The following is a 25,822-nucleotide window of genomic DNA, read 5'->3' as shown; positions in this document are numbered from 1 at the left end:
CCCAGTTTCTCTATCATCAGAAGGGCATGCACTCAGGCACATACACATTGGTGCACTGTGTCACCTCTCTCAGCCTATTGGTATGTTAAGCCTCAGATCTACTTATGAAATGAGAAGATGTGTTGGTTATGAAAGGGATTTTAAACATCAACAAACAGGTAAAGAAGGACAGAGATCAACCTGGGCATCATGGTGAGACCCAGTCTCTACAAAAAAATTAAAAAATTAGCTGGGCATGGTGGTGCATGCCTGTGGTCCCAGCTACTGGGGAGGCTGATATGGGAGGATCACTTGAGCCCAGGTGGTCGAAGCTGCAATGAGCCATGATTGTGCCACTGCACTCCAGCCTGGGTGAGAGAGCGAGACCCTGTCTCCAAAAAAAAAAAAAAAGACAGGTCAGAGGTCAGATGAAGGGAGAATTGCCTCCAGCAGCAGTTACACAGCGTGGTTGGTCACTTTCTCCACCTGAGCATAGAAGGCCCTGAATGATGGGAGCAGTCAATGAAGACTCCGTTCGACTGTGTGCTCCCCAAAAGCAGGGATTATGTCTATTTAAAAGTGAGGTGAGGTTCTTTATTGCAAGGTGCCATTTTAAAGATGCGTTGCAATCCCTTCTATATAATATTCAATGCAAAAATAAAGAACATGTAAAAAACTGAACCTGGGCTATGTTTATAACTCCACATAGGGAGAAGGAAGAATGAGGTAATGGTGATACATTGGGTGGAGACTCTGCAGAGGAAAATTTTCCATACTTAAGAGTTCCTATGATGTGGTCAGGATGCTGTTCTGATAATAGAGACTAAAACAAAGATCCTTTACTAATAGTGACAAGGGAAAGGCCACAATGCCACAGACAGAGAGAACTGCATGTCAGCGAGAAGGCACAAATTGAAGCCTCACTATGTGACTCTCTGAGGGTGAGCCAGTTATTCGAAGTTGCTGAGGACAGGGATAGTCACTGGTTTACCTGTTCTCACCTGGGCTTATGCCTCATTTCTCAGCAGCTGCCAAACCAAAATCATTCTCTTCCTGAACTAGTCAGAGTTCTCCAGAGAAACAGAACCACTGGGACATAGATATAGAAGGAGATTTATTATGAGGAATTGGCTCACATGATTTTGGAGGCTGAAAAATCCCACGATCTGCCCTCTACAGACTCGAGATCCAAGAGCCCCAGTGGTGAAATTCTAGTCCAAGTCCAAAGGCCTGAGAACCAGGAGAGCCAATGGTGTCAGTTCTGGAACAAGGGCAGGGAAGACTGATGTCCCAGCTCAATCAGTCACACAGAAAGAAGAAGGAGAGAATTCCTCCCCCTTTCCCCTTTTGTTCTATTCAGACCCTCCACAGATTGGGTAATGGCCACCTACACTGGGGAGGGTGATCAGCTTCACTGAGTTTACTGATTTAGATGTTCAACTCATCTGGACACACTGTCTTGGACACATCCAGAAATAATGTTTAATCTGGGCACCCCTTAGCGCAGTCAATTTGACACAGAGAATCAACCATCACACTTTTCTGGTAAATTAGTCCGTTCTTGCATTGCTGTAAAGAACTACCTGAGACGGGATAATTTATAAAGAAAAGAGGTTTAATTGGAACACAGTTCTGCAGGCTGTACAGGAAGCGTGGCTGGGGAGGCCTTGGGAAACTTACAGTTGTGGCAGAAGGTGAAGGGGAAGTAGGCAGGTCCTACATGGCTGGAGAAGGAGGAAGAGGGCGAAGTGGAAGGTGCTACATACTTTTAAACAACCAGATCTAGTGAGAGCTCACTATCACAAGAACAGGGGAAAATCCACTCACATGATCCAGTCACCTCCTGCCAGGCCCCTCCTCCAACATTGGGGGTTACAATTTGACATGAGGTTTGGGGAAGGACACAAATCCAAACCTCATGACCTGGGTAGCATCTCTTTCCTTTTTCCTTTCCATGGTATGTGTTCCTTTTCTAGAGCCTTCTATGGGTTGCTCTGCCTTTTTACTTTAGAAAGAAAGTTCTAGAATGAGGCTTCATTTACTCTCTTCTTATTCCACCAAATGGCTCTCAGAATAAGCCAAGCACCATGCACATATACCACATGCAATATACAAAAGCATTGGTATTGAATAAGATTCAATTGAATATTTGAACAATTTTAGCACAAAGACTCAGGTTTGTAGGTGACATACAGAAACTACGGATCCTTCACTTACTAATTTTATTTGTAACCAAATGAGTAGAAATTACATAGTACCACTTTTATAGAGAGAGGGAGATTAACAGTCTTTCAGAGGTGGCACATCTTGTCTTCATTCATTCATTCCCTTGTGGGCAGGGAGATGGATGAATGGGCCAACCATGCTTTCTTGAGATAATTCTTTTTGAAAATAAGTTGCATTCTTTCTAGTGGCCATTTTTTTTTAAGTGAAATGTGTTTGAAAAACGTTGGCTTCAATTTGCCATTCCTCTTAAACCATGCATTGCTTTAGAAACAGGCCAGGTTTTTTTGAATGCTGAAACAAGTTTCCAATAAGTGTACCATTCCAGAAGACCTTGTGGAATCCTCATTCTCTTTTAGGTTGCACTCAACCTGTGCTGCCAGGACCTCAAAGATTACACCACTTGGTCATACGAGGGGAGAATCCTGTAAGTTGGAGGCTGTTGGTTATGGTCAAAGGGTTTCATCAGAACACCCTCTTTTTGCTAAAGGTCACCTAGAACTGAGTGGAGCCCAGCACATTTTCGGAGTTGGCTGTCTGTGTCATCTGCATTTAGTCAAGTTTCATTTCCTGTGGTTTGTAGATTTCTTAAGTGTGAAGTAACGAACCCCAAACAGTTAAAATTCTTTACCTAAAAATGGATGAAATGAGAAAAAAAAATAAGTATTTTTGTAACTTCTGTGGGGAAGTGAGACTGGGGTTCCACTGAGCAGTTCCTTGTTGCTGCGCACATAAGGCCAGCCCCTCTGCGGGAAGGTCCATGACACTTGGAGTTCAGATCTCCTTGCTGGGCATCTTAGGAGGTGACAAAACGAGACCCATTTTCTGACAATTCAGACAAAGTGTCTGCTTTTACTTTCATGTCGTGGGAGAACAGTCAACAGTGCAGTTTCCACCAGAACCCACTATATCTCAGTCACACACCCCTCTGATTTTGTGCAAGAGTTGTTTATCTTCCATACAGATTTTTCTGAGTCTTTGGCCACAGATGAACAGAAAACAGTTGAGGTAGGAAGGTGAGAAAAAAAGAAGGGAAACTTATCCTGAGTTTGCTTTCTTTCCATTCCCTTAACCTTAGGGCAGACAGTTTTTTGTTTGCTTGTTTTGTTTTGTTTTGTTTTGTTTTGAGACGGAGTTTTGCTCTTTCACCTAGGCTGGAGTGAAGTGGGGCAATCTCAGCTCACTGCAACCTCTGCCCCCTCCCCACCAGCAATTCTCCTGCCTCAGCCTCCGGAGGAGCTGAGACTACAGGTGCGCGCCACCATGCCCAGCTAATTTTTGTATTTTCAGTAGAGACGGGGTTTTGCCATGTTGGTGAGGCTGGTCTCAAACTCCTGACCTTAGGTGATCCACCCACCTCAGCCTCCCAAAGTGCTAGGATTACAGGTGTGAGCCACCGTGCCCAGCCAGGGCAGACAGTTTGAGGGTTCATGGGAGGCCTTTAATTACGGAAAATGCTACTGGGGATAGTAGAGGACTTTTAGTGAAGACCTGGTCCCCAGACTCTTTATGGGACTTTTTGGTCTGCACAGCTCCTTCTGTTGGGTCTTTGTTTTCAGTGAGAGCTTCCTTGACCACTTTCTGCAAAACTGCAACCTTTCCTTCAACTCTTACTTCCTTGTTTGTTTTGGTTTTTGAAACCACTTGTCACTATCCACACATTATATAATTCACTTGCTTTTTGTCTGTCGTCCCCTTCTAGAAGGTAAGCATCATGAAGGCAGGGATGTTTGACCATTTTTTGTCCTGCTGCAAACATAATGAATGCCTAGGATGGAGCCTGACATATAGGAGGCACTCAGTGAATATTTATTAAATGGGGAATGAACCCTTGCTCTTTTTAAACTTGCTGAAGCAAGTAGATGAATCAATCACTTCTTGGCCTTTTGGCTAAATCAAGTGAAGCAGATGAGTCAGAAACTGGAATTGCGTCTTTTTCTCTTTGTTTTCTGCCCCCAGCTCCTCGCACAATTCTTGGACTATGTAGGAACTGAAAAGTAATGGTTGTTTGACTAAAGTATGCATGCATGAATGAATGATTGAGTCTGGTTTACAACGTGACTTTTGATGTAAAAACTGTTGTTTATTTGGGTACTTAACACATATAAAGCAAACCATGCTAATCCACGGAGAGTCAAAGATGAGTCAGACATGGGTCAGACATGGGTCTTGCCTTCAAGATGCTAAATAGACTTCCTTTGTCCTGAGTTTACTTTCTTTCTGTTCCCTTAACCGTAGGACAGTCTGTGGGGTCACAGGAAGTCTTTTCTTAGGGGAAATGCTCCTGGGGGTTGTAGATGATGACTTTCAGTGAAGACCTGACCTCTAAACTCTTTTATGGGACTCAACTATCATAGCTTGTATTTTAGTCTAAAGAATCTCAACATTTTGTCTCTATTTCAAATAATAGTAATTGGATTTTCACTGTCGTATAAATTCTTCCCAAGAAATGAAGGTTAGCCAGGTGCTAATTACGCCTGTAATCCCAGCACTTTGGGGGGCCGAAGTGGGTGGATTGCTTGAGCCCAGGAGTTGGAGACCAGCTTGAGCAACATGACAAAACCCCAACCTACAAAAAAAGAGAAAACATTAGCCGGGTGTGGTGGTGTGTGACTGCAGTCCCAGCTACTTGGGAGGCTGAGGTGGGAGGATCTCTTGAGTCTGGGCTGCCAAGGCTGCAGTGAGCTGGGATCGCGCCACTGCACTCCAGACTGGGCGACAGAGTGAGACCAGCCTCAAAAAAAAGGAAAAAAAAAAGTGAAGGTGGCAACATGCTTGTTGCTGGAGGTTTATTAGAAGAACATAGACATGAAAGTCATACAATCCCTGTTCCAAGAACTTAAAACACCAGTGAACAAGAGGCCACGGGCTGTAATATATATTAACAAAGAGAAAATGTTTCTAGAACTCATTTATAAATCTTGCATTATTAAGTGTAAGTAGGAGAAAGTTGGTTGGTTTTCCATCTAGGTTCTAGATTTATTTCCACATGCTAAGTCTGTGGAAATTGCCCTGGAATCCAAGGAGATGTTTCTCTGGTGACCAGGGGTGGGGGTGAAGATTTGGGGCTGGAGGTGTCTGTCTTTGGGAGGGTAAGGCCAGCAATGGTATGCTCCTAGTCTGAAGTGAACGAGACTTCCTGGCCTGCCTATTTCAAGATGTGCCAATCTGTGTCCAGTCCTCTGCCATTTTGCCTTGAGAAGGTGTCAGGCTAATGAGATAGGATTTCCAAGTACAAAGCACCCTCCTAGGCCGAATCTGTTAAGTGGTGTTACCACTCAGGGTTTGGAAACCCTGTCATTCATCCTCCTCAGAGTCATTGGAGAGCAGTCTGTGCTTTCCCCTCTCTACATGGGCAGAGAGCAAATTGCTTCCAGATTTTTCTGTTTAGGAAATTTAACAGATCATTTATTGTTCATAAATGGGAAAATACAAAAATACCTAAAATGAGGGTTTGATTTAGTCCTCTGTATTCAAGGTGAGCCTGATGTGGTGTTGATGGACTGGGCACATGTGCCTTAAAGAGGAGCTGAGCTGCACCTGTGCAGCAAGCTGTTTAGCCTTGACATTGTGCTCACATGCCCATGGGACACCTCAGTAGTCTAGTTAGTATGACCTATTCTTCTCCATCCAATCCTATGTCCTCTTAACACAGTGGGAATGGAGGCATGGAACTTTCCAGAAGTTTGCCCAGGTTGTAAGGTGAACCAGTTACCGGTTACCAGGAATGAAATTTTCAGTGTGCACAAATTGAAGCAGAATTGCCTAATTTTTTGTGTGTGCTGCAAGCTGCGTTTCTACACTCTTTCACTTTCTTTTACTATTTTCTTATTTGTTTGTTTAAAATTTAATGTTGGCCCTTTGTAAAAATTTCTTAGAGAAGGAGGAATTCTGAAGGTGACATTAACATCCAAAATCAGAAGTAAAGTGATGATCTTTAACTGTTTGCATCCTGGAGGAATCTCTCTACCCACTTCTTACTTCTCACTTCCTTCCCCCACATTGGTATAAAAAGAAGAACTTGTATTGCATGCCAGGAACCCGAATGTCCAGTCACTTGTCTCCTTGGAGTGCACCTCTCCTTCCATTCTGATGACATGGAAGGTGGAAATTGTCATCTAGAAATTTCAACTGGTGGTCACAAAGCCTCCCAAGAGAGAAAATCCAAAGTTTTCAAATCTCAAAGATGGTAATTGTTGGCGTTGCTTTTGCAATTTACCCATGTTTTCCTGAAAACCTTCAAATGAAGTGAAATTTTGGCCCTGGAAGTTCCCTGTGAAGTCAGCCTCTTTATCGCCCCCATGCCCCACACTGGTTCGGAGTGGTGTAGGAGCCACCTTACCTTGCTCTACTCCTCAGTGTTTCCTGGTAAATCAGTTGCTGCTCCAGAATTTGTATCTAGGAGGAGCACAGGGGCCAGAACAGGTTGAAAAGACATTAAAGGACTTGTCCTAAAGTCGTTCCTGCACAGCGCTTTATGGAAGATGAGAAAATATCAATTGTTTATATCAGCGATGGGGAGGAGGAGCTGATGAAGTTGGAGTGCATGGCCGACACTCAGCACCCAGCCCCTCTCCCCTTGCCCTTCACTTCAGTGCCTGTGACCCCACTTCTGGCACCTGCATGCCTCTCTGTAAAGGCTTCCTCTCACCCCAGAACCTGCCTCAAGCCCCTGAGGAGTAATTGTCACCCAATCCCTGATCAGACTTTGTGAATAAATACTGCAGCTCACTTTCCCTAGGGTAGGTAGCTGTGGAGCTGGCTCCCAGGGATCCCCAGGAGGGTTAAGCCTCAGTCCCTACAGGAGTAGCCAGCTGCATAAATCCTGTGGTGGCTGCTTTCCCTCCCCTGTCCCGGCTTCCCACCTCTCCTCCTGTTCCCTTCACATATGAACTGCTTCTCCCTGAATCCCTGCCTCAGGGTCTACTTCTAAGGGAACCTGAACTAAGAGAGGGTCCCTTGGCACAGTCACTGTGTTGAACACAACCATAACATATTTTAAAACGTTTGTGCCAGCTACTCGGGAGGCTGAGGCAGGAGAATCGCTTGAACCTGGGAGGCGGAGGTTGCAGTGGGCCAAGATTGCGCCACTGCGCTCCAGCCTAGGCGACAGAGCAAGACTCCGTCACAAAACAAAACAAAACAAAATATTTGTGAGGCTGAGATAGAAAAAAAAGAAAAGAAAACCCTATCAAAAATAATTAAAACACTAAATGCAAACTATCTTCTTTGACTACTTACTACTGCTATGGTTTGGATATTTGTCCCCTCCAAATCTCATGTTGAAATTTGATCCCCAGTGTTGGAGGTGGGGACTAAAGGGAGGTGTTTTGGTCATAAGTGCAGATCCTTCTTCATGAATGGCTTAGTGTCAATCTTGATGGATTGACGGAGCTCTCACCCTTATTTCCCATGAGATCTGACGGTTAAAGAATCTGGCACCTCGTTCTCTCTCTCTTGCATCCTCTCTTGCCATGTAATCTCTGCACATGCCAGCTCCCCTTTTGCCTCAGATGCTGGTGCCATGCTTGTACAGCCTGCAGAACCATGAGTCAAATCAACCTCTTTCCTTTATGAATTACCCAGCCTCAGGTATTTCTTTATAGCAATGCAGAATGAACTGAGACACTACCCCACAGACTGGTTAAAATGGTAGCATTCTCAAGCTTCTTAAAATTCCTTTTCTGAACACAGTTCTCTGACCTTTTCTGAACACAGTGTTCTATGCATCCACTGAGGGGCATTTAATGATTTTAATGATTAGTAAAAGGGAACGGGATTTTTTCACCTTGAAGTTGACTATCGCAAAGCATATCTACTTAGTTACTGGTGTATTTCAACTCAACTTGAACATGCTTATTTGAGCGTAAGAATGGACTTAAATCATAAAATCATTTATTTTTGAATTACCCTATGTGGGCCAAAATATTTGGATTAAATGCTGTTTGTTTCTGTGCAAAATGGAATACATAATCAGATATTTTGTTTTGAGCCTTAAACAACAGCTAAGAGTCTTAAACGAAACTAGCTAAGATCACCTCTGATTTCTTATCCTTCACCACAGAGAGATGATGAGAGCAAGAGATAATAAAACGCAACAGCAATATGTTACTAAAGACCTTTCTCCAATGAATTATGGCTTTCATTAATGAATTAATGCATAGCTGTAATTAATAATTAGGGTTAATATGCGGTCTATATTCCACACAGATATTCAGAAAATAGGAAGTAATTCTGAAGACCCGAAAGGTTATTTCAACTGCTTATGACTGATGTTACAACCAGAGCAAACTCAGCTGTAGATGTGTTTTTGTGGCTTGCAAATTTTTTGAAAATTGGTTGCCAATGTTTAAAAACTGGAAAATTTCATGTAAAAATCTAGGTTCCAATTTCTCTTGAGAAATTGTAAGAACTAGCCAAACCAGGCCTGCATTCCTAAGCAGTGGAAAAAAAAAAAAAATCAACTGGAGTTGCCTTTTTAGCTGGTACCTCCCTATCCTGCCTGGCCCCTGCAGGCATTTGGGGTTTAAATGCCAGGCTTATGACGTTAGAAGAAATATGAGATGAAAGGAAGAAACACAAACAAATAATAAACCTTACAGTTTTCAGGCAAGAAGAAACTCTTCCTTGCATATTTACAGTTGTGTGGACAGTGTTGTGTTTTTGCTTGTTTGTCAGAAATCTCTTCCTTGGCTGTGGTCTGAGGAGCAGGTAAGATCGTGTGGGGTCATTGCTATGGAAACAGGAGAAAACACTAGCCTCAAGCTTGTGGGCGTTACCTCACCCAGTGATCTTTACACAATTCCCTGAAGTTTCCCGCGGTTACATTTTACTGTGTATAAGAGGCTAATACTATACTTTTTAGGGGCATTTTTGTGATTTCAGTAATGAATAATTACAAAATATTTTGCAACTGTGCATTGCCACCAAGGAAATGGAACCACATGGATGACTGTGGCTGCACAGCTAGAAATAACAGTTCTAGCTTGCACCATGATGGCACAGGTGCTTAGAGGTCTCAGGAAAAGTTCCCGAACCATGGGCTTTTCTCCCAGAGCTCTTCCTTGAAAGGGGAACTGAGAGGCCACTGTGTGCTCCTGAGAGGCTGGAGTGAAGAACAGCTTCTGTTCTTGCTCAGCAAGGCTGGTGATGTGAAATTGCCTTTGAGAGCATTTGCCCGCCTGGCTGTGTGCCTGGCACCTTTTAGATAGATTTCGATCAGCATAACTCCAGTGTGCATGGTAATCATGGAAATTTTCAGCTTTCTTCTCCAAGGAGAAACTGATAAAAAGAACAAACTGCCCTTGGCTTTTTCTGAGCCATGGAAACAGAACAGTTCTAAGACTCAAAAAGTCAGGGCACATTTTGCAAAGGCCTGATTCTAGTATTTGGCCTTAATTGTAAATACCGTGGCAGTGGACCATTAGGTCACAAGTGTAATTTGTCCATGTGTTCATTCAACATTTATGGAGCCTTCTCTCTACTCAGGGATTGCGAGTTTTGCCTTCTTGGTTTTGTGTTCAGCCAAGGCCAGTTATGACGCTCAACCCTGATGGCCATGTTTCTAGAAGTCCATGCATCACATTTTTTTCTGTGCCTGAATTCGTTTCATGACTGCTATGCTGCAAGTGGGCTCACAGTATGTGGTTTCTCCCAACAACCTGAAAGGGCTTAAAGAAAATGGATAATTGCATTAACTCCTTCGGATGACTATAACTTTCTCAGTTTCCTACCAATTCTAGTCCACTGGTGGTGTCCTGAGTTAATCTGGTCCAGCTGCGGTATTTGATTTTAGCACATTCAGGAGCGTATTACCTTAAATAGTCTTTTCTCACAACTGAACACAAAACGTCTGGTATCCACGCTACCCTTGATACTATAGCAATAACAATGCTAACATTTTCTAAGTAGTGTTCTTAGAACACTTAGAACAATGCATAACGTGCCATGCTAAGTGCTTTACATGGATTTTTTACTTAATTCTCTTAACAGCCCTAGAAAGTAGTACTATATTTTCTCCCCTTTGCAGGTAAGAAAACTCAAGCTTTAAAAGTTAATTTAACCAAGGTTGCATGGCAAGAAAGAGCTGGAGCCAGGACTCAGTCCAGGCCTGGTTGAGTCCAAACCCCTATATTTTCGTTATTTCCGCAGCTCTGCAAAAACCAATACGTATCTGGACAGAGTTGAGAATTTCTCTCTATAGTGAGAGGGTTGATTTTGTATCTTTCTGACTTAGTGAGTTTATCAGCAGGGATCTGGGATCTGGTGCTCTTTAGAAAGCCTAACCCTCCTGGTTTCTGTCAGGAAGGAGCTCTGCAGGAGGGTGAGCTCATGGAATTTTCCATGTGCATAGAAAGTCATGCTTTGATTGAGATGAAGTATAGAAATAAGAGTCACTGCTTTTTTTTTTTAACATTTGAAGTTGAATATCTATGTTTTAGATCTGACTTCACTCCATCAAAACATTATGTTTAACTCTGGTAGAATCAAAGACAACAAACATCCCTCGAACTTGGCCCTTCTCTCCGACTGTACAACTTCTGTTTATGGTGCTACCCTCCATCCTGGCTTCAAGCTTCAAGGTCATGTTGGATTCCTTCTTTCCACTTCACCTCTGTATGAATCTTATTGAGTTCCTTTGCTGTATTTCTCACACATATTCCTAATTTTCCAGTCTTGGTATCACACTCTGGTTTGGGTTATTATTCTCTTACACCCAAACCATTTTCATCATCTCCTAACTTGTCTTTCTGTGTCCAGGCTTTACCTGTTCTTATAAACCCTACACACCGTCAGATTATCTATTCGCCTATTAAAATCCCACCTAGCCTTGAGGGTGCAAGTCAAATTCTACAGTCTCAAGGAAGTCATTAAGTACCTACAAAAAAGTAATCTCCCCAGTCCCCTTCTTATGGCTCATAATTTACGGTTATGTGTGGATATATCTGTTTTGTTTTGTTTTTTGAGACGGGGTTTCACTCTTGTTGCACAGGCTGGAGTGCAATGGCGCGATCCCAGCTCACTGCAACCTCTGCTTCCCAGGTTCAAGCAATTTTGCCTCAGCCTCCTAAGTAGCTGGGATTACAGGCATGCACCACCACGCCTGGCTCATTTTGTATTTTTAGTAGTGACGGGGTCTCTCCATGTTGGTCAGGCTGGCCTCGAACTCCCGACCTCAGGTGATCTGCCCGCCTCAGCCTCCCAAAGTGCTGGGATTATAGGCGTGAGCCACTGCGCCCAGCCATGTGTGGATATATCTTATCCACACATGGCAGAGATGGCCAGATGTTTATCCAATATTCATATTCTTTAGCCAGAGAATCCTAATATTGTCAAGTGCAGTTATAGCCCAAGCTCTAAAACAATATTTCCCAGGCTCCTTATAGATAGGGCTGGCCAATGATATACTAGCTAAAGTTGTCAAGTGGTGTCTTAATTTGGTTCCCCCAGAAGTAGACCCTGAGACAAGGATTCTAGTACAGCTTGCTTAATTTGGAGGTTGTCTCAGGAAGCGTCAGTAGTAGAAAGAGGCCAATAAAGCATTGCTTATTAGGAAGAGTATCATTTTTGGTGACTGGAGTTTCATCCTACTGGGGAACTCTGGGATGTAGCTCAGACGCTAGAAGTTTCCTTCACTATCATTAACACTTAACGCTGAACTTATCCTAAAATTGGAGTAGAGTGCATTGTAAGCATAAGAGCAAGGGAATATGGTTGAGTTTTTAAAAAATATTATTTTTACTTTTACTATGAGCATATACGACTTCTTGAAATTTAGTGATATAACAAAATAGAAAGAAAGCTAATGATTTAATGCTGTGTAGAAAGAAGTAGGATATAAAAATGTTTACCATAACTGTAAGTACAGAACACAACAACTGATGCATAGTTTTATGGAATGGAGGAACTAAACCAGAATGCTCAATACGTAGCACAATACGTAAGCAATAAGTATTTGTTACTCTTAAATAAGTATCGAGAGGCCGGGCGCGGTGGCTCATGCCTGTAATCCCAGCACTTTGGGAGGCCAGGGTGGGAGGATTACCTCAGGTCGGGAGTTCGAGACCAGCCTGGCCAACATGGTGAAACCCCATCTCTACTTAAAATACAAAAATGAGCCAGGCATGGTGGTGGGTACCTGTAATCCCAGCTACTAGGGAAGCTGAGGTGGGAGAATTGCTTGAAGCTGGGAGGCAGATCATCATGCCACTGCACTCCTGCACTCCAGCCTGGGTGACAGAGCAAGACTCCATCTCAATGGCAAAAGAAAAAAAAAATCAGAGTTAAGAATGAATTCGTTTATTTTCCAAATTTTCTGTAATGAGCTTATATAACCTTCCTAATGAAAAAAAAAAACTGTATGCGAATAAGACTGATTTTACAACCCAAAACAATAATGCAGGTGAAGAGGCTTTCATGCTTTTGCTAGGAAGACCTCAAATGTAGCATTGACAAAAGTGGGGCTTCTGGAAAGCTTCCTCCAGGGAGCACGTCCTTCCTCCTTCTTCCTATCTGGGACATTGACAGGATACTATGGCAGCCACCTCGGACCAGGTGTTGACCCAAGAGATGAAACCATGTGTTAAGGATACTGGAGGAAACGCACAGGACATGCCTGCATCTCTGATGACTGAAGAGCAGCAATACTAACTCTGCACTGAGTGCCCACTGGCCCTTATTATGTGTAATGGTCAAACAATGTGCCAATGAAAAGAGTCAAACTCTATAAAAAATTTGAAGAGATGTATTCCGAGCCAAATATGAGTGACCATGGCCTGTGACACAGCCCCAGGAGATCCTAAGAACATGTGCCCAGGTGGTCAGACTACAGCTTGGTTTTATACACTTTAAGGAAACATAAGACATAAATTAATACAGGTAAGATGTACATTGGTTCAGTCTGGAAAAGGTGGGACAACTCGAAGTGGGGGGTGTCCAGGTCACAGGTGGATTCAAAGATTTTCTGATTGGCAAGTGCTTGAAAGTGTTAAGTGATTATCTAAAGATGTGGAATCAATAGAAGGGAGTGTCTGGGTTAAGATAAGAAGTTGTGGAGACTAAGGTTCTTATTATGTAGATGAAGCCTCCAGATAGCAGGCTTCAGAGAGACTAGATGGTAAATGTTTCTTAACAGACTTTAAAAGGTGCCAGACTCTTAGTTAATTCTCTCCTAGATCAGAAAAAAGACCTGGAAAGGAAAGGGAATTCTCTATAAAACATAGGTTTTCCCCACAAGAGACAGCTTTGCAGTGCCATTTCAAAATGTGTCAAAGAAATGTATTTTGGGATAAAATATCTTGATTTCTTTCAGGTCCTGCTGTCTGTCATGTGGTTATCTTATTGCTACGCAGAGTCTGTTTTGTCAGTCTTATGGTCTCTGTTTTAATGCTAATGTTAGTCAGCAGTGCCTGAATTCCAAAGGGAGCAATATAAACTGAGGCATGTCTGATCATGCATTCCCATCATGGCCTGAACTGGTGTGCTTATTTTAGAATGCCCTTGGCCAAGAGGAGAGGTCCATTCAGCTGGTTGTGGGGCTTAGAATTTTATATTTGGCTTACGAATGAAACCTACCATGTTGTTTATACTGCCATTGTGTTACCATTATTTGTAGACAAACCTCATCCTCGTTTGTGTTTCTAAGACCAGGAAGCTTCTTTAGGGGAATTGTCTCTGTGTCTTTTTTAATCTCTATCATAGCATCCATGCAGTGCACATAGAACCAAGTCCTCGATAAATATTTATGGAATGAAGAACTTGAATTAAACCAACTTGGAGAATGGTGTGGAAAGTACTGGGCTAGATGACGTGGGTTCTGAAGATGAAGAGAACAGTATCTCATTCTCAAAGAACTGATAGTAAAATTACATGTGGGTTGTGGGTGTGTCACTGTTTGCCACCGACGCACCTGGGTGGGGTCAGGCAGAAGGTGCCTGTCCTCTGTGTCTCAATAAAACACAAGATGCCCATTCACTTCTGGTTTTCTCCTGGTATCATTGGCTCTTCGGTGTCTGCTGGAAAAGCTGGGCTTTTCCCAGTGTTACCATGACGTCTGAGCTTTGAGAGCTGTTTCTTTTCCCCTCGGAGCCTGAGAGAGATTATTCCAGTGATATCTGAATAGCTTGAGTTCGCTGGGTATGAACACAGAGGAAGTGGTTCCCTAGCAACAGGCGCCTCTGAAAGCCTCTTAGCACTCAGTACTTCTCCGGGCTTTTTGTTTCCCCTCGTTCATGCTGCCTGTCAGCAAATGGCCAGAGTGATTGCACCTGCTCCAAATTAGGGCTGGTCAGTTCGACCCCAGCAGTTCGGTTTTACTAAGTCAAAGTTCCTCTTTCAGTCAAGCTTCCTTGTGAGGCCTGGGGCCTATTTTGCTCCTGGTTAGACCATAATTACCTCAGATGACACTTCCTTCTTTGTTGTCTAGATTTTGACCAGAAATGGAAAATACCGAAGTGACTGAGATCATTTTAATTGAATTAGTAAAAGAATACTTTTTTTTTTTGGCACGTCTTTTCAAATATGCTAAACCTCTTAAGAAAATGTTTTATATCGCCTTTTTTTTTTTCCGCTAAAAATGGATTCTCACTCCATTTTTTCAGTTTCTCCGCAGAAGACTTAACAAATTCTGCCTTCCTTAACTGTGTCAGCATCTCAATACATATTTGAATATATGAGTTGGTTGGGGCAATATTAGAGGGTGTTTACCGCATTGCCTTGGCATCTGGAGACAGCCCTTACTGAGAGCATTGGTCATTGGTACAGACCATGGCATATAACTCTGAGATGAGTCCAGAATTGTTGACTGCAAATGCCTTGTTTCATTTTCAAACAGCAATCCATATTACTGTTTGAATTAGCAATCTTTTTTTTTTTTTTTTTTTGAGATGGAGTCTAACTTTGTCACCCAGGTTGGAGTGCAATGGCACGATCTTGGCTCCTCTGCAACCTCCGCCTCCCAGGTTCAAGTGATTCCTCCTGCCTCAGCCTCCCGAGTAGCTGGGACTACAGTCACCCACCACCATGCCTGGCTAATTTTTTTGTACTTTTTTTAGTAGAGACGGGGTTTCACCAAGTTGGTCAGGCTGGCTTCAAACTCCTGACCTCAAGTGATCCACCCACCTTGGCCTCCCAAAGTGCTGGGACTACAGGCCTGAGCCACTGCACCCAGACTGAATTAGCAATTTTATAGGAGATGGTTATACGTCTCTGCCTACCAGTTGGTTAGTATCGATTTGTAGCACTGAAAATCTGGCCAAGACTGTGGTGATGAATGACAGCATACAACTAAATTGAGCCTCACAGCTCCCGGAATTCTTCTTGTCTGTACCTTTTAAAATATTTTCTTTCCTTCATTCATTCAACCAACAAATATTTGTAATTATAATTGAGTGTCTGCTATGTGGAAGACTTTCTGTGGGAAAAACGTGAATGGCCCATCTTAGGAAGTTCTCCATTTAAAAGAGGAGAAAATGGAGCCGGGCACAGTGGCTCACACTTGTAATCCCAGCACTTTGGGAGGCCGAGGCAGGCGGATCACGAGGTCAGGAGATCAAGACTATCCTGGCTAACACGGTGAAACCCCGTCTCTACTAAAAATACAAAAAAATTAGCCAGGCCTGGTGGTGGGTGCCTATAGTCCCAGCTACTTGGGAGACTGAGGCAGGAGAATGGCGTGAATCCAGGAGGCGGAGCTTGCAGTGAGCAGAGATTGTGCCACTGCACTCCAGCCTGGGTGACAGAGTGAGACTCCGTCTCAAAAAAAAAAAAAAAAAAAAAAGGAGAAAATGGAAGGTAAATCAGTACAACCTCAATGGAAAACAGTATGGCGAGCTCTCAAGGAACTAAGAGTAGATCTACTATTTGACCCAGCAGTCCCACTGCTGGGTACCCACCCAAAGGAAAAGAAGTCATTATATCAACACCTTGCACTCATATGTGTATTGCAGCACAATTCACAATTGCAAAGACATGCAATCAACCTAAGTGCCCATCAAGCAATGAGTGGATAAAGAAAATGTGGCATTTATATGCTATGGAATACGCCTCAGCTATAAAAAAGAATAAATGTCTTTTGGGCAACTTTGATGGAGCTGGAGGCCATTATCCTAAGTGAAGTAACTCAGGAATGGAAAACCAAATACTGCATGTTCTCACTCCTAAATGGGAGCTAAGCGATGGGCATACAGAGTGGTACAGTGGACACTGGAGACTCAGGAGGAGGGAGGGTGGACGGGGGTGAGGAATGAAAAATTCCCTATTAGGTACAATGTACACTATTTGGGTGACAGGTACACTAAAGGCCCAGACTCCCTCACTATATAATTCATCTATGTCACCAAAAACCGCTTGTACCTCTAAAGCTATTGAAATAAAAAAAACATTTTTTTAAGTGGGTAAGATGCATACACATGTAACTAATGACTGTCAAGCAAGATCACAGCCTAAAGAAAGATAAGCCATGCATTACGGACAATCTGTTTAATCACCTATCACCTCTTCCCCGAGAGGACACTGGTGGAGTTTTAGAGTAACCAACCTTGCAGAGTGGTCAACTGGAGAGGAGGGAGGAGAGCTGAGAAGTTTGGGTCTGTTCTGCAGATAAATCGAGGGCTTGTTTCCAACACTATTAGTCCAATTCTTATTGTTAACCTTTCATTCATTAAAACAACAAAACTGTAAAATCACCTCTGTGTCATGATATTCATTTCCACCCAATGGGTTATTTTTCATCAATGTTAAGAACTTGACATATGTCAGCCAAAGTGACATATAACAGAAATCAGGGAGAGAATTTATCTGGGAGCTGGGAATAGTAAAAAAAATAAAATAAATCCTAGCTTAGGTGAAATTGGAATTGCCGCTGTTTGTCTCATTTTCCTCCCAGGCATTATTTTCCACTTGTAAAAGAGAAAGGAAGAAAAATACGTCTCAGTAGCCAAGCCCTCTGGGAGAGAGGTTCTCTCTTTAACAGCCACATCCCCCTACAAGCTGAGGAGTCTCTCCAGGGTCCTGTGCTCAGTTACAATCACAGTCACAGTGAACCAGAAAGAATGAGTTATAAATGAATGGAGATGTGGGGGAAGAAAGGACCATCTGAATCAGACAGCCACAGTGTGTTCTTTCTCAGGCTTGCTTAGACGAACGGGAAACGGAAACCTAAAAGCCATTCTTGGTGTATACAGGTGACAAGCCCTTGGGGATCATTTCAGACTTACTAAAATAGCCACTGCCTTCTGAGCAGTTGACACCCCTGGAAGATTTATAAAGTGGAGAATGCGAGACAGGCAGTAAAGGAGCTTTTTGTAGCCAAATAAGTGAATTGCACCCTTGGGCAGAAAGGACAGTCAGGTCCTGCCCATGAAAAGAACTACATTTCTCCAGCAGCATGTCCTGAATCACAAAGCTGGGGCCCTGTTGTAACTAAGTGGTTCCTCAGGCATAGTTTCCTCTCCCTACCACACTCAGTATTTTCCATTTTGAATCAAATCACATTCAAGAAAGATAATGGCTGATTATTATTTTTAGAATCCTGGAAATGGATTCCCCGTGACACTTGGTGAGCAGGTTGGGACCAGGCTTTGACTCCTATGCCCATTCATGCAAAGTAAGGAAGTTAATATTTATTGAGCACCTACTAGACCAGATATGCTATGTATATCCCTTCTTATAATTAGGAGGCAATTTATTACCTGCTTTGTGCAGCTGGCCACGAAGATGATGGGACAGAGGAAGCATCTAAGAAAGACCTCTCCTGTCCGATGCACAAAAAGGAGGATGGTTTTTGTGTTTTGTAGTAAGCACACTCATACCAATACTTGCATTTGTGTGGCATTCTTCATAATGCTTTTGCAATCATTTTATTTGGACCTGCCATTAAAATGCCTTGCCATAGGATGGGACAGATAGAATTTTCACTTTATGGGTAAAGAAATTGAGTCATAGAGAAATTAAGTGATATGTTAATGCCATATGGCAAATGAGAAGCAAAACCAAGATGATATTTTCACATTTTCTGAGTTCTAGTGCAGAGGAGAACATCAGACATATCTGTATTATTTATTTCTGTTAATGTACAAATGTACATGGTGTAATGGGTCTTACTTAGCAGGGCAGGCAGCATACGCATGAAAGAACAACATGAGCCGTGCTGGATGCAAATCCCAGCTCAACCTCTGGTTTGTTGTTTGACTTTGGGAAATGTCTTTATCTATACAATAGATAGAAATAGATAAATGACCTACCTCATCAGCTAGGTGTGAAGATAACACAATGTAATATATGGAATATAGTAAAGGGTTAAATAGGGAATTAAATGAGAAGAGTGCCTGGAATATAGTAAGCATTTGATAAATGTTAGCCATCATCATTATCATTGTATCATTGTAAATTTTCAATAAATGTTGGTCTCTTCCCCCACGATTCTACTATCTTACTGCAATAACAGGATTATGTACAGAGTGAGAGAGAATAAGAATACAAAGAGAGAGAGGAAATATCCTTCATTCTTACCCTCTATGTCTCCTTCTCATTACTGGTATCATTAGGCAATTTCCAAGTAAGTAATACAATAGCAGCTCTAAAAATTCTTCAATTGGACAGCTGTTTTCTTATGTCTTTGCCCAAAGTGATGTTGTTGAAATTGCGTTCTTGAGGAATTATTTCCCAGAAGCCTGCAGTTGTTGTGGAGTACTAAAATCATATACCTGAGGGTCTGTGCGATGATTAGTTTTATGTGATAACTTGAGTGGGCCTTGAGGTGCCAAGACATTTGGTCAGACATTATTCTGGGTGTGTCAGTGAGGATGTTTCTGGATGACATTAATGTTTGAGTTAGTTTGCTGCATAAAACAGACTGACAGCCGGGTGCAGTGGCTCACGCCTGTAATCCCAGCACTTTGGGAGGCCGAGGTGGGCAGATCACTTGAGGTCAGGAGTTCAAGACCAGCCTGGCCAACAGGGTAAAACCCTGTCTCTACTGAAAATACAAAAATCATCTGGGTGTGGTGGCATGTGTCTGTAGTCCCATCTGCTCTGGAGGCTGAGGCACAAGAATCACTTAAACCCAGGAGGTGGAGACTGCAGTGAACCGAGATCACATTACTGCACTCCAGCCTGGGTGACAGCATCAGACTCTGTCTCAAAAAAAAAAAAAAAAATTAGACTGACCTCCCTAATATGGGTCTTTGAAGACCTGAGTAAAGCAAAAAGGCTAAGTAAGAGGGGATCCCTCCTGCCGGACTGCTTGAGCTGGGATGCTTGTCTTTTCTAACCTTCAGACTTAGACTAACATTGGTTCTTCTTGGGTTTTAAGCCTGCCAGCTTTTGAACTGAAATTATGCCATCAACTCCACTGAGTCTCCAGCTCACTAATTATAGATCTTGGGAATTCTCATCCTCCATAATCACATCAGCTAATTCCTTATAATAAAGCTATCTATCTGTCTATCTACCTACCTACCTACCTATCTCCAATCAGTTCTGTTCTTCTGGAGAAACCTAATACAAATTTTGGAACCAAGTAGTGGAGTGCTGCTGTAACAAATACTTAAAAATGTGGAAATGGCTTTGGAATTGGGTAATGGGTAGAGGCTGGAAGAATTTGGGGGTGCACACTAAAAATATGAACATTAAGGGCAATTCTGGCAAGGTCTCAGAAATGAGGATTGTGTTACTGGAAATTGGAGGAAAGATGATTCTTTTCATAAACTAACAAAGAACTTCTGTGAACTGTGTTCTAGAGTTTTGTGAAAGGCAGAATGTGTGAGTGACAAAATTGGATATTTAGCTGAGTAGTTTTCTAAGCAAAGTGTTGAAGGAGTGGCTTGGTTCTTCCTGATTGCTTATAGGGAAATGTGGGAAAGAAACATTAATTGAAGAAGGAATTATTAAGCCAAAAGAAACAAGAACTTGCAGACTTGGAAAATACTTCATCTATCCATATTGCAAAAAAAACACCAAGGTCATGGCCAAACTATCACTTGATAGTGTTTATAGGGTTATATGAGCAGAAACACTGCCAGTTTGAACCGAAGGGGATAGAGACATGACAAAATGAAGGAAGGCTATTGGAATTCTTGGATTTCACTAGATGAGAAAGTAGAGGTACTTGGAACATGCACTATTCTCCCAGAAGAGAAAAAATTGATGCTGAAGTTGATGCAGAGCTCATCAGGCCCAGAGCCTTGGTTTCAACCACTGGAAAGCCCCTACCTGAAGCTTTGCAGGAGGACCATCCAGAGGAGCCTTGGGGACACAGCCTTCTGACAAGACCCAGGGTCTGCAAGAACCACAGGGGCAGGGCCCCTGCCTGGAGCTATTGGAGTGATGCTTCCACCCCAGTGAGCCTGGAAGATGGGACATTGAGCCAAAGAGGATAATTCCTGAGCCTTAAGATCTAATAGGATTTGCCTTGCTAGGTTTTGGACTTGCTTGGGGTCTGTCACTCCTTTCTTTCTTCTGAGTTCTCCCTTTCGGAATGGGAACATTTATCTTATGCCTGTCCCAATGTTGTATTTTGGCAGTGCGTAATTTGTCTGGTTCCGCAAGTTCACACCTGGAGAGGAATTTTGCTTCAGGATAAATTGTACCTCAAATTTCACTCATATCTGATTTAGATGATATTTAAAGGAGGCTTTGGACTTTAGACATTACAGTTGATGCTGGAACAAGTTAAGACTCTTGGAGCTGTTGAAATGGAATGAATATATTTTGCATACAAGAAGGATATGAATTTGGGGAGCCAGGGATATAATGCTATAAACTGAATTATGTCTCCCTCCTGCCCCACCACAAATTCATATGTGGAAGCCCTAATCCTCAATGTGATGGTATTTGGAGATAGGGCATTTGGGAGATTTAAAAGATTCCCAATTAGGTTCAGATGAGGTGATGATGTTGGGTGATGTGAATAGTGCCCTCAGAAGAAGAGACATCAGAGCGCTTCCTCTCTCTCTCTTTTTCTCTTTGTCATGTGAGAACACAGCAAGAAGGTGGCCATCTACAAGCCAAGAAGTGAGTCCTCACCATAACCCAACCATACTGGCACTGAGGTCTTGTACTTCCAGCCTCTGGAACTCTGAGAAAATGAATTTCCGTTGTTTAAGCCACCCAGACTATGGGATTTTGTTATGGCGGCCTGAGCTAAGAGAGCCAGTCATCTGAAACTAGCCTAACTTGGTTTTGCATCTATTCTAATAGATGTCTAATCCAAGTACAGAGCTCAATGCAGCAAACCAATGTTGGCTCAAATTAATCAGAAGTCTCATGTGCCAGAGGACCCCAAAATACATTTTATCCATTTATCTGTCAAAATCGGTACTTAATATATAGCTTGGAAATTGTAGCTGTTAGAAATGGAAATTTCCAGCTTGGTTATCATATCTACCTAAGAAAAAAACTACAGAAGGTGGTAGGGCTTTGTTGATGATCAATTATACTATTTAAGCAAACACATTTGGTGAAAGCACGTTTTCCCCTTCTGCTAAAGCTGCTAAAGTAATCTCTTCATTTGTAAGACAAAAGAACATTCACCTAGCAGGACATTATAGAGCCACCATAAATCCTTTGAGTCCAAGCCAATTTGGAGTGGAAACCATAGATAATTACACTGGGTTAAGGGGAAACAATTAAATCTAGATTAAAACTTCTTTAAAGCAAGTTTTTTTCTTTAAAAAAAGGGGAAAATGTGAGAATTGGGCAGTCCCCTTGAAGAAAAGCAGTGTGCCAATATCCTTTGGGAGTGTTTTGTCTCTTCTGGATGCTAGCCCAGGAATCATTAACTAGCTGTGTGACAATGAACAGTTTGACTATTTTGCTGATCTGAGCCTCAGTTTCCTTATCATTAAATTAAGGGGTTGAGGTGCACCATCTATCATCCCAGTTGTCAAATTCTGTGATATTAACTAGGATTTATGCAAGGTGCTATCCTAGGGAATCCAGTAGACAGAAAGAAAATTCACTGGTTTTATTTCACTTGCAAGAAAGCACCTCTTTATTATCCAGTATTTGCCCCTCAGCTAGGTCACACTGGGCTCATCTCAGAGCTCTGTTGGTCCAGGGTTGACTAGTTCTCTGCTTTGTTTCCAAGAGAACTCAAGCAGATGGGAACTTTCCTTGAGAGATGTGGATCCAAAGAGAGTTTACTTTGGGTATGCTAAAGTGATCAATGGAGGCATATGGAAAGAACAGCTGATCACCTTCTACCATTCTGGAGAAATCATTCATTTGTGCACCCATTCATTTCACTGGCACTCACTGAGAGGCAGCAGAGCATGTGGTTAATGGTTCAGGCTCTGTATTCAGAAGCCCTGGGTTCAAATTCTGGTTCCATCACATATGCTTTGTGGCCTTGAACAAGATACCTAACTGCTCTGTTCCTTCATCTATAGTCCTCATCTCAAAGGCTGGTTGTGAGGGTTAAATGAATTAATAAATGCAAAATATCTATAACAATGCCCAGCTCATAGGAATTATTCAGTGATGGGTATGGGTTACCATGGCCAAGCTGTGTATTATTAACAGATACAGATGGGATCTCTGAGAGATGTTGCTATGGACAAGATCAGCATCAGTATACAAAGAAGGAAACGGGTGGCAGTCAGAGTGAATTTCATAGAGAAGGCAATTTCAGCTGAGTCTTAAAGTTAAAGTTAAGATAAGCCTTTGTTAGACAAAGAAAGAAGGTCACTCCGGGTAGTAGCAGCAGTGTTAGCTGAAGGAGGAAGGTGCAAGTCATGCTTAGATTCAGATGACTGTGCTGAGTGTGGCTGGAGTATAGAAGAAAGGGAAAGCAAGATGGGAGATGAGGCTGGAAGAGTAAATGAGGTCATGGAGGGCTCCAAGATGGGGGCAGTCTATGCTCCGTGGAAGCCATTAGAGGTGTTTTAAGCTGGACAATACCATAACCAGGAAGCCCTCAGGTTTGGAGCAAGGCTGGAATTGGAATGTAAGGGAAGTCAAGGAATGGCATTGAACTTAAATCCAGGGTCTGGTGGATCTTGGGGGTAGTCTTGAGAGGAATGAGAAATCTTGTTAATTTTTGCTTATTTCATGATTCCCAGCCCCATGTCACTTATTTATACTGGATTTCCTGACTAGTCCCACATTTGCTGAACCAAAAATCAGGCAGCTTTTCAAATCTGAGTCACAATCTTTTAAAATGGATTGAACACTTGCTGTACAGAAAGGACTGTACCCAGAACAGATATAAAGATGTAAAGCATGGTGGTACCTAACCCTAAGGTTGCTGGTCTTGTTTGAGCTCAGAGGAGAAAGAGGTGTCTTTGGCTTGGTTAGTCAGAGAAAGCTGCCTGGAGGAAGCTGTCTATGAGCTGAATATTTAAAGGTAGGTACAATTATTATTATTATTATTTTGGAAACAGGGTGTTGGTCTGTCACCCAGGCTGCAGTGCAGTGGTGCCATCACTGCTCACTGCATCCTTGACCTCTCAGGCTCAAGCAATCCTCCCCCCTCAACCCCCCAAATAGCTTGGACTACAGGTGGGGCACAACACTATGCCTGGCAAATTTTTTAATTTTTTATAGAGATGGGGTCTCACTATGTTACTCAGACTGGTCTCGAAATCCTGGACTCAAGCAATCCTCCCACCTCAGCCTCCCAAAGTGTTGAGATTACAGGTGTGAGCCACCGTGCCTGGACAAAGTAGGTGAAATGTTGATAGACAGAGAACACTCTAGAAGGAAGTAACCACCTGAGAAAGTTGAGGACATGAGAATGCAATAGAAAGGGCATTAAAGAGAAAACAGTGCAACATCTAGACATGAGACAGTGAGAGCCTAAACTAGGGGGATATTGGCTGCAGCACGGCAAAAGGAGAAGCCGATGTGAGAATAGTAAGGAATAAAAAAGAGCTCTTGGTCACTAACTGGATAAGGGATGAGTGAAGGTGAGCACTGGGAAATGATTAGGAAATAATCCCCTGAAAGGCAGGCAAAAATAGGTAGCAGGCATTTTGGAAAGTAAGGTGCTTAATGTCAAGATAAGACCTCCAAAAGAAAACTATTTCTAAGAGGCAGCTAAAAATGTGGATTGGCATTTTGAGAAAAAGTTAGCATTTGAGATAAAGTTGAATCTCAAACTTAAAGGCTGCATGCCAACATTGGGAGTAGGTGGATTTTCTGGAGAACAGAAAATTCATTCAAAGAGAAGGGAGCATAATGCTTCTACTTTGACTGGAAACCTTTAAGGCATCTTCCACTTCTAGCAATATGGAGGACTTTACAACATGAAACATATCCAGCTTACAGAGGGGAAAAAAAAAAAACCTTAGCAGGCTGTACACAACGTAAGATTTCTGTAAATCCACAGCTAATTGTTAAAGAAAATAATAGAAATTCCCAGGGACCAAAAACAAAGAAGAAACTGAAAACCAGAGTAATAATTTTATAAATTACTGTTATCACTGCTCTTGGGGCAGGTCTTAGAAATCTTTGGCCTTGGGTTTGGTGACCATCTGAGTTGGGAGAGTATATTAGTTATCCTTGGCTATGTTACCACATATTACCACAAACTTAGTGACAAAAAGCACAACATATATTTATGATGTTCCAGTTTCTGTGGGTCAAGAGGCTAAGCATGGCGTGGCTAGGTTGTCTGCTTGGGGTCTCAAATGACTGCAATCAAAGTGTCTGCTAGGCTGAGGTCTCCACTGGAGAGGAATCCACTCTTGTTGGAAGAATTCAGTTCTTTGCAGGTGTAGGTAAGATTGAAAGCTTCTGTTTTTTTCCTGGTTGTCAGCCAGGAGGCCACCCTTAGTGCCACATGGGCATCCTAATATACACCACCCCAACATGTCAGCTTGCTTTGTCAAAGCCAGGAAGGGAATGAGAGACTCCAGCAAGATGAATAAAATCATCTTGGAATCATGTCCATCCTGTCACCCTTGCCATCTGTGTTTGTTTGTTTTGAGACAGGGTCTTGCTGTTGCCCGGGCTAGGGTGCTGTAGCATGATCACAGCTCATTGCAGCCTCAGCCTCACAGGCTAAAGCCATCCTCTGACCTCAGCCTCCTAAGTAGCTGGGACTACAAGCACCATAAAAAGTTAGCCACCACACCTGGCTAATTTTTGTATTTTTTGTAGGGATAAGTTTTGCCATATTGCCCAGGCTGGTCTCGAACTCCTGGGCTCAAGTAATCCACCTGCTTCAACCTCCCAAAGGGCTGAGATTAGTGGCGTGAGTCACTGCAGCTGGTCTCATATTCTATTGGTTAGAGTCAAGTTACAGGTCCTGCCTACACTCAAGAGGAGGATATTATTCTAGGGTATGAACACCAGGAGGTAGGGATCATAGGGGCCACCCCAAAAATCAGACTGCCACAGGGAAAGGCCTGGGTGCTAGGAGGGGCATGGTGTTAGAAATAAGACCCTCGTGAAGCCGAGACCTTGAGGAATGACACTCTTGTTAAAAGGGAGACACCGATGAAGCTTGTTTGTCTCTGCATGAGCCCTGAGTAGGAACAAAGTCTCCCCTGAGAATTCATGATCACAGCTTACACAGTGCATGGGTTTGGGATTTAAGTTTACCTATAGAGTATAATGACTTCCTAAGTTGAAAAATGAGCATACAAAACATCCTAGATCAGTAAATCCTCCAGGACAT

At 42.6% G+C, this 25,822-nt stretch overlaps 1 protein-coding gene and 1 long non-coding RNA gene across 3 annotated transcripts in view, besides 5 other annotated features; one reads left to right on the top strand and one right to left on the bottom strand.

Moving 5' to 3' along the window:
• FAM107B (family with sequence similarity 107 member B) overlaps nucleotides 1–25,822 on the top strand; it is a 256,341-nt gene that overhangs the window by 112,129 nt on the left and 118,390 nt on the right. The gene's annotated exons all lie outside the window — the stretch shown is intronic.
• LOC105376429 (uncharacterized) lies at nucleotides 2,188–10,022 on the bottom strand. Its single transcript, XR_930691.4, has 5 exons — nucleotides 9,936–10,022; nucleotides 8,803–8,935; nucleotides 7,604–7,739; nucleotides 6,545–6,600; nucleotides 2,188–2,833 (listed from the first exon to the last, which is right to left on the bottom strand). It is a non-coding gene; the product is annotated as an uncharacterized LOC105376429 (long non-coding RNA).
• Nucleotides 2,633–2,722: an enhancer, noted in NCBI's record as "active region_3081". NCBI's record gives its function as "activates an Ori minimal core promoter by ATAC-STARR-seq in GM12878 lymphoblastoid cells {active_cell/tissue: GM12878}" and the evidence as "EXISTENCE:reporter gene assay evidence [ECO:0000049][PMID:35858748]".
• Nucleotides 12,905–14,104: an enhancer, noted in NCBI's record as "MED14-independent group 3 enhancer chr10:14690664-14691863 (GRCh37/hg19 assembly coordinates)". NCBI's record gives its function as "activates an origin of replication core promoter dependent on BRD2, BRD4, P300/CBP and CDK7 cofactors, and independent of MED14, by STARR-seq in HCT116 cells {active_cell/tissue: HCT116}" and the evidence as "EXISTENCE:reporter gene assay evidence [ECO:0000049][PMID:35650434]".
• Nucleotides 13,577–14,077: an enhancer, noted in NCBI's record as "H3K27ac hESC enhancer chr10:14690691-14691191 (GRCh37/hg19 assembly coordinates)". NCBI's record gives its function as "activates a minimal SCP1, AML or CMV promoter by ChIP-STARR-seq in naive H9 embryonic stem cells {active_cell/tissue: H9 hESC(naive)}" and the evidence as "EXISTENCE:reporter gene assay evidence [ECO:0000049][PMID:30033119]".
• Nucleotides 14,608–14,777: an enhancer, noted in NCBI's record as "active region_3080". NCBI's record gives its function as "activates an Ori minimal core promoter by ATAC-STARR-seq in GM12878 lymphoblastoid cells {active_cell/tissue: GM12878}" and the evidence as "EXISTENCE:reporter gene assay evidence [ECO:0000049][PMID:35858748]".
• Nucleotides 17,295–17,444: an enhancer, noted in NCBI's record as "active region_3079". NCBI's record gives its function as "activates an Ori minimal core promoter by ATAC-STARR-seq in GM12878 lymphoblastoid cells {active_cell/tissue: GM12878}" and the evidence as "EXISTENCE:reporter gene assay evidence [ECO:0000049][PMID:35858748]".

The sequence above is a fragment of the Homo sapiens genome, chromosome 10 (genome assembly GCF_000001405.40).
Source record: "Homo sapiens chromosome 10, GRCh38.p14 Primary Assembly".
Taxonomy (NCBI): domain Eukaryota; kingdom Metazoa; phylum Chordata; class Mammalia; order Primates; family Hominidae; genus Homo; species Homo sapiens.
This window is presented reverse-complemented; position numbering and strand designations above follow the sequence as displayed.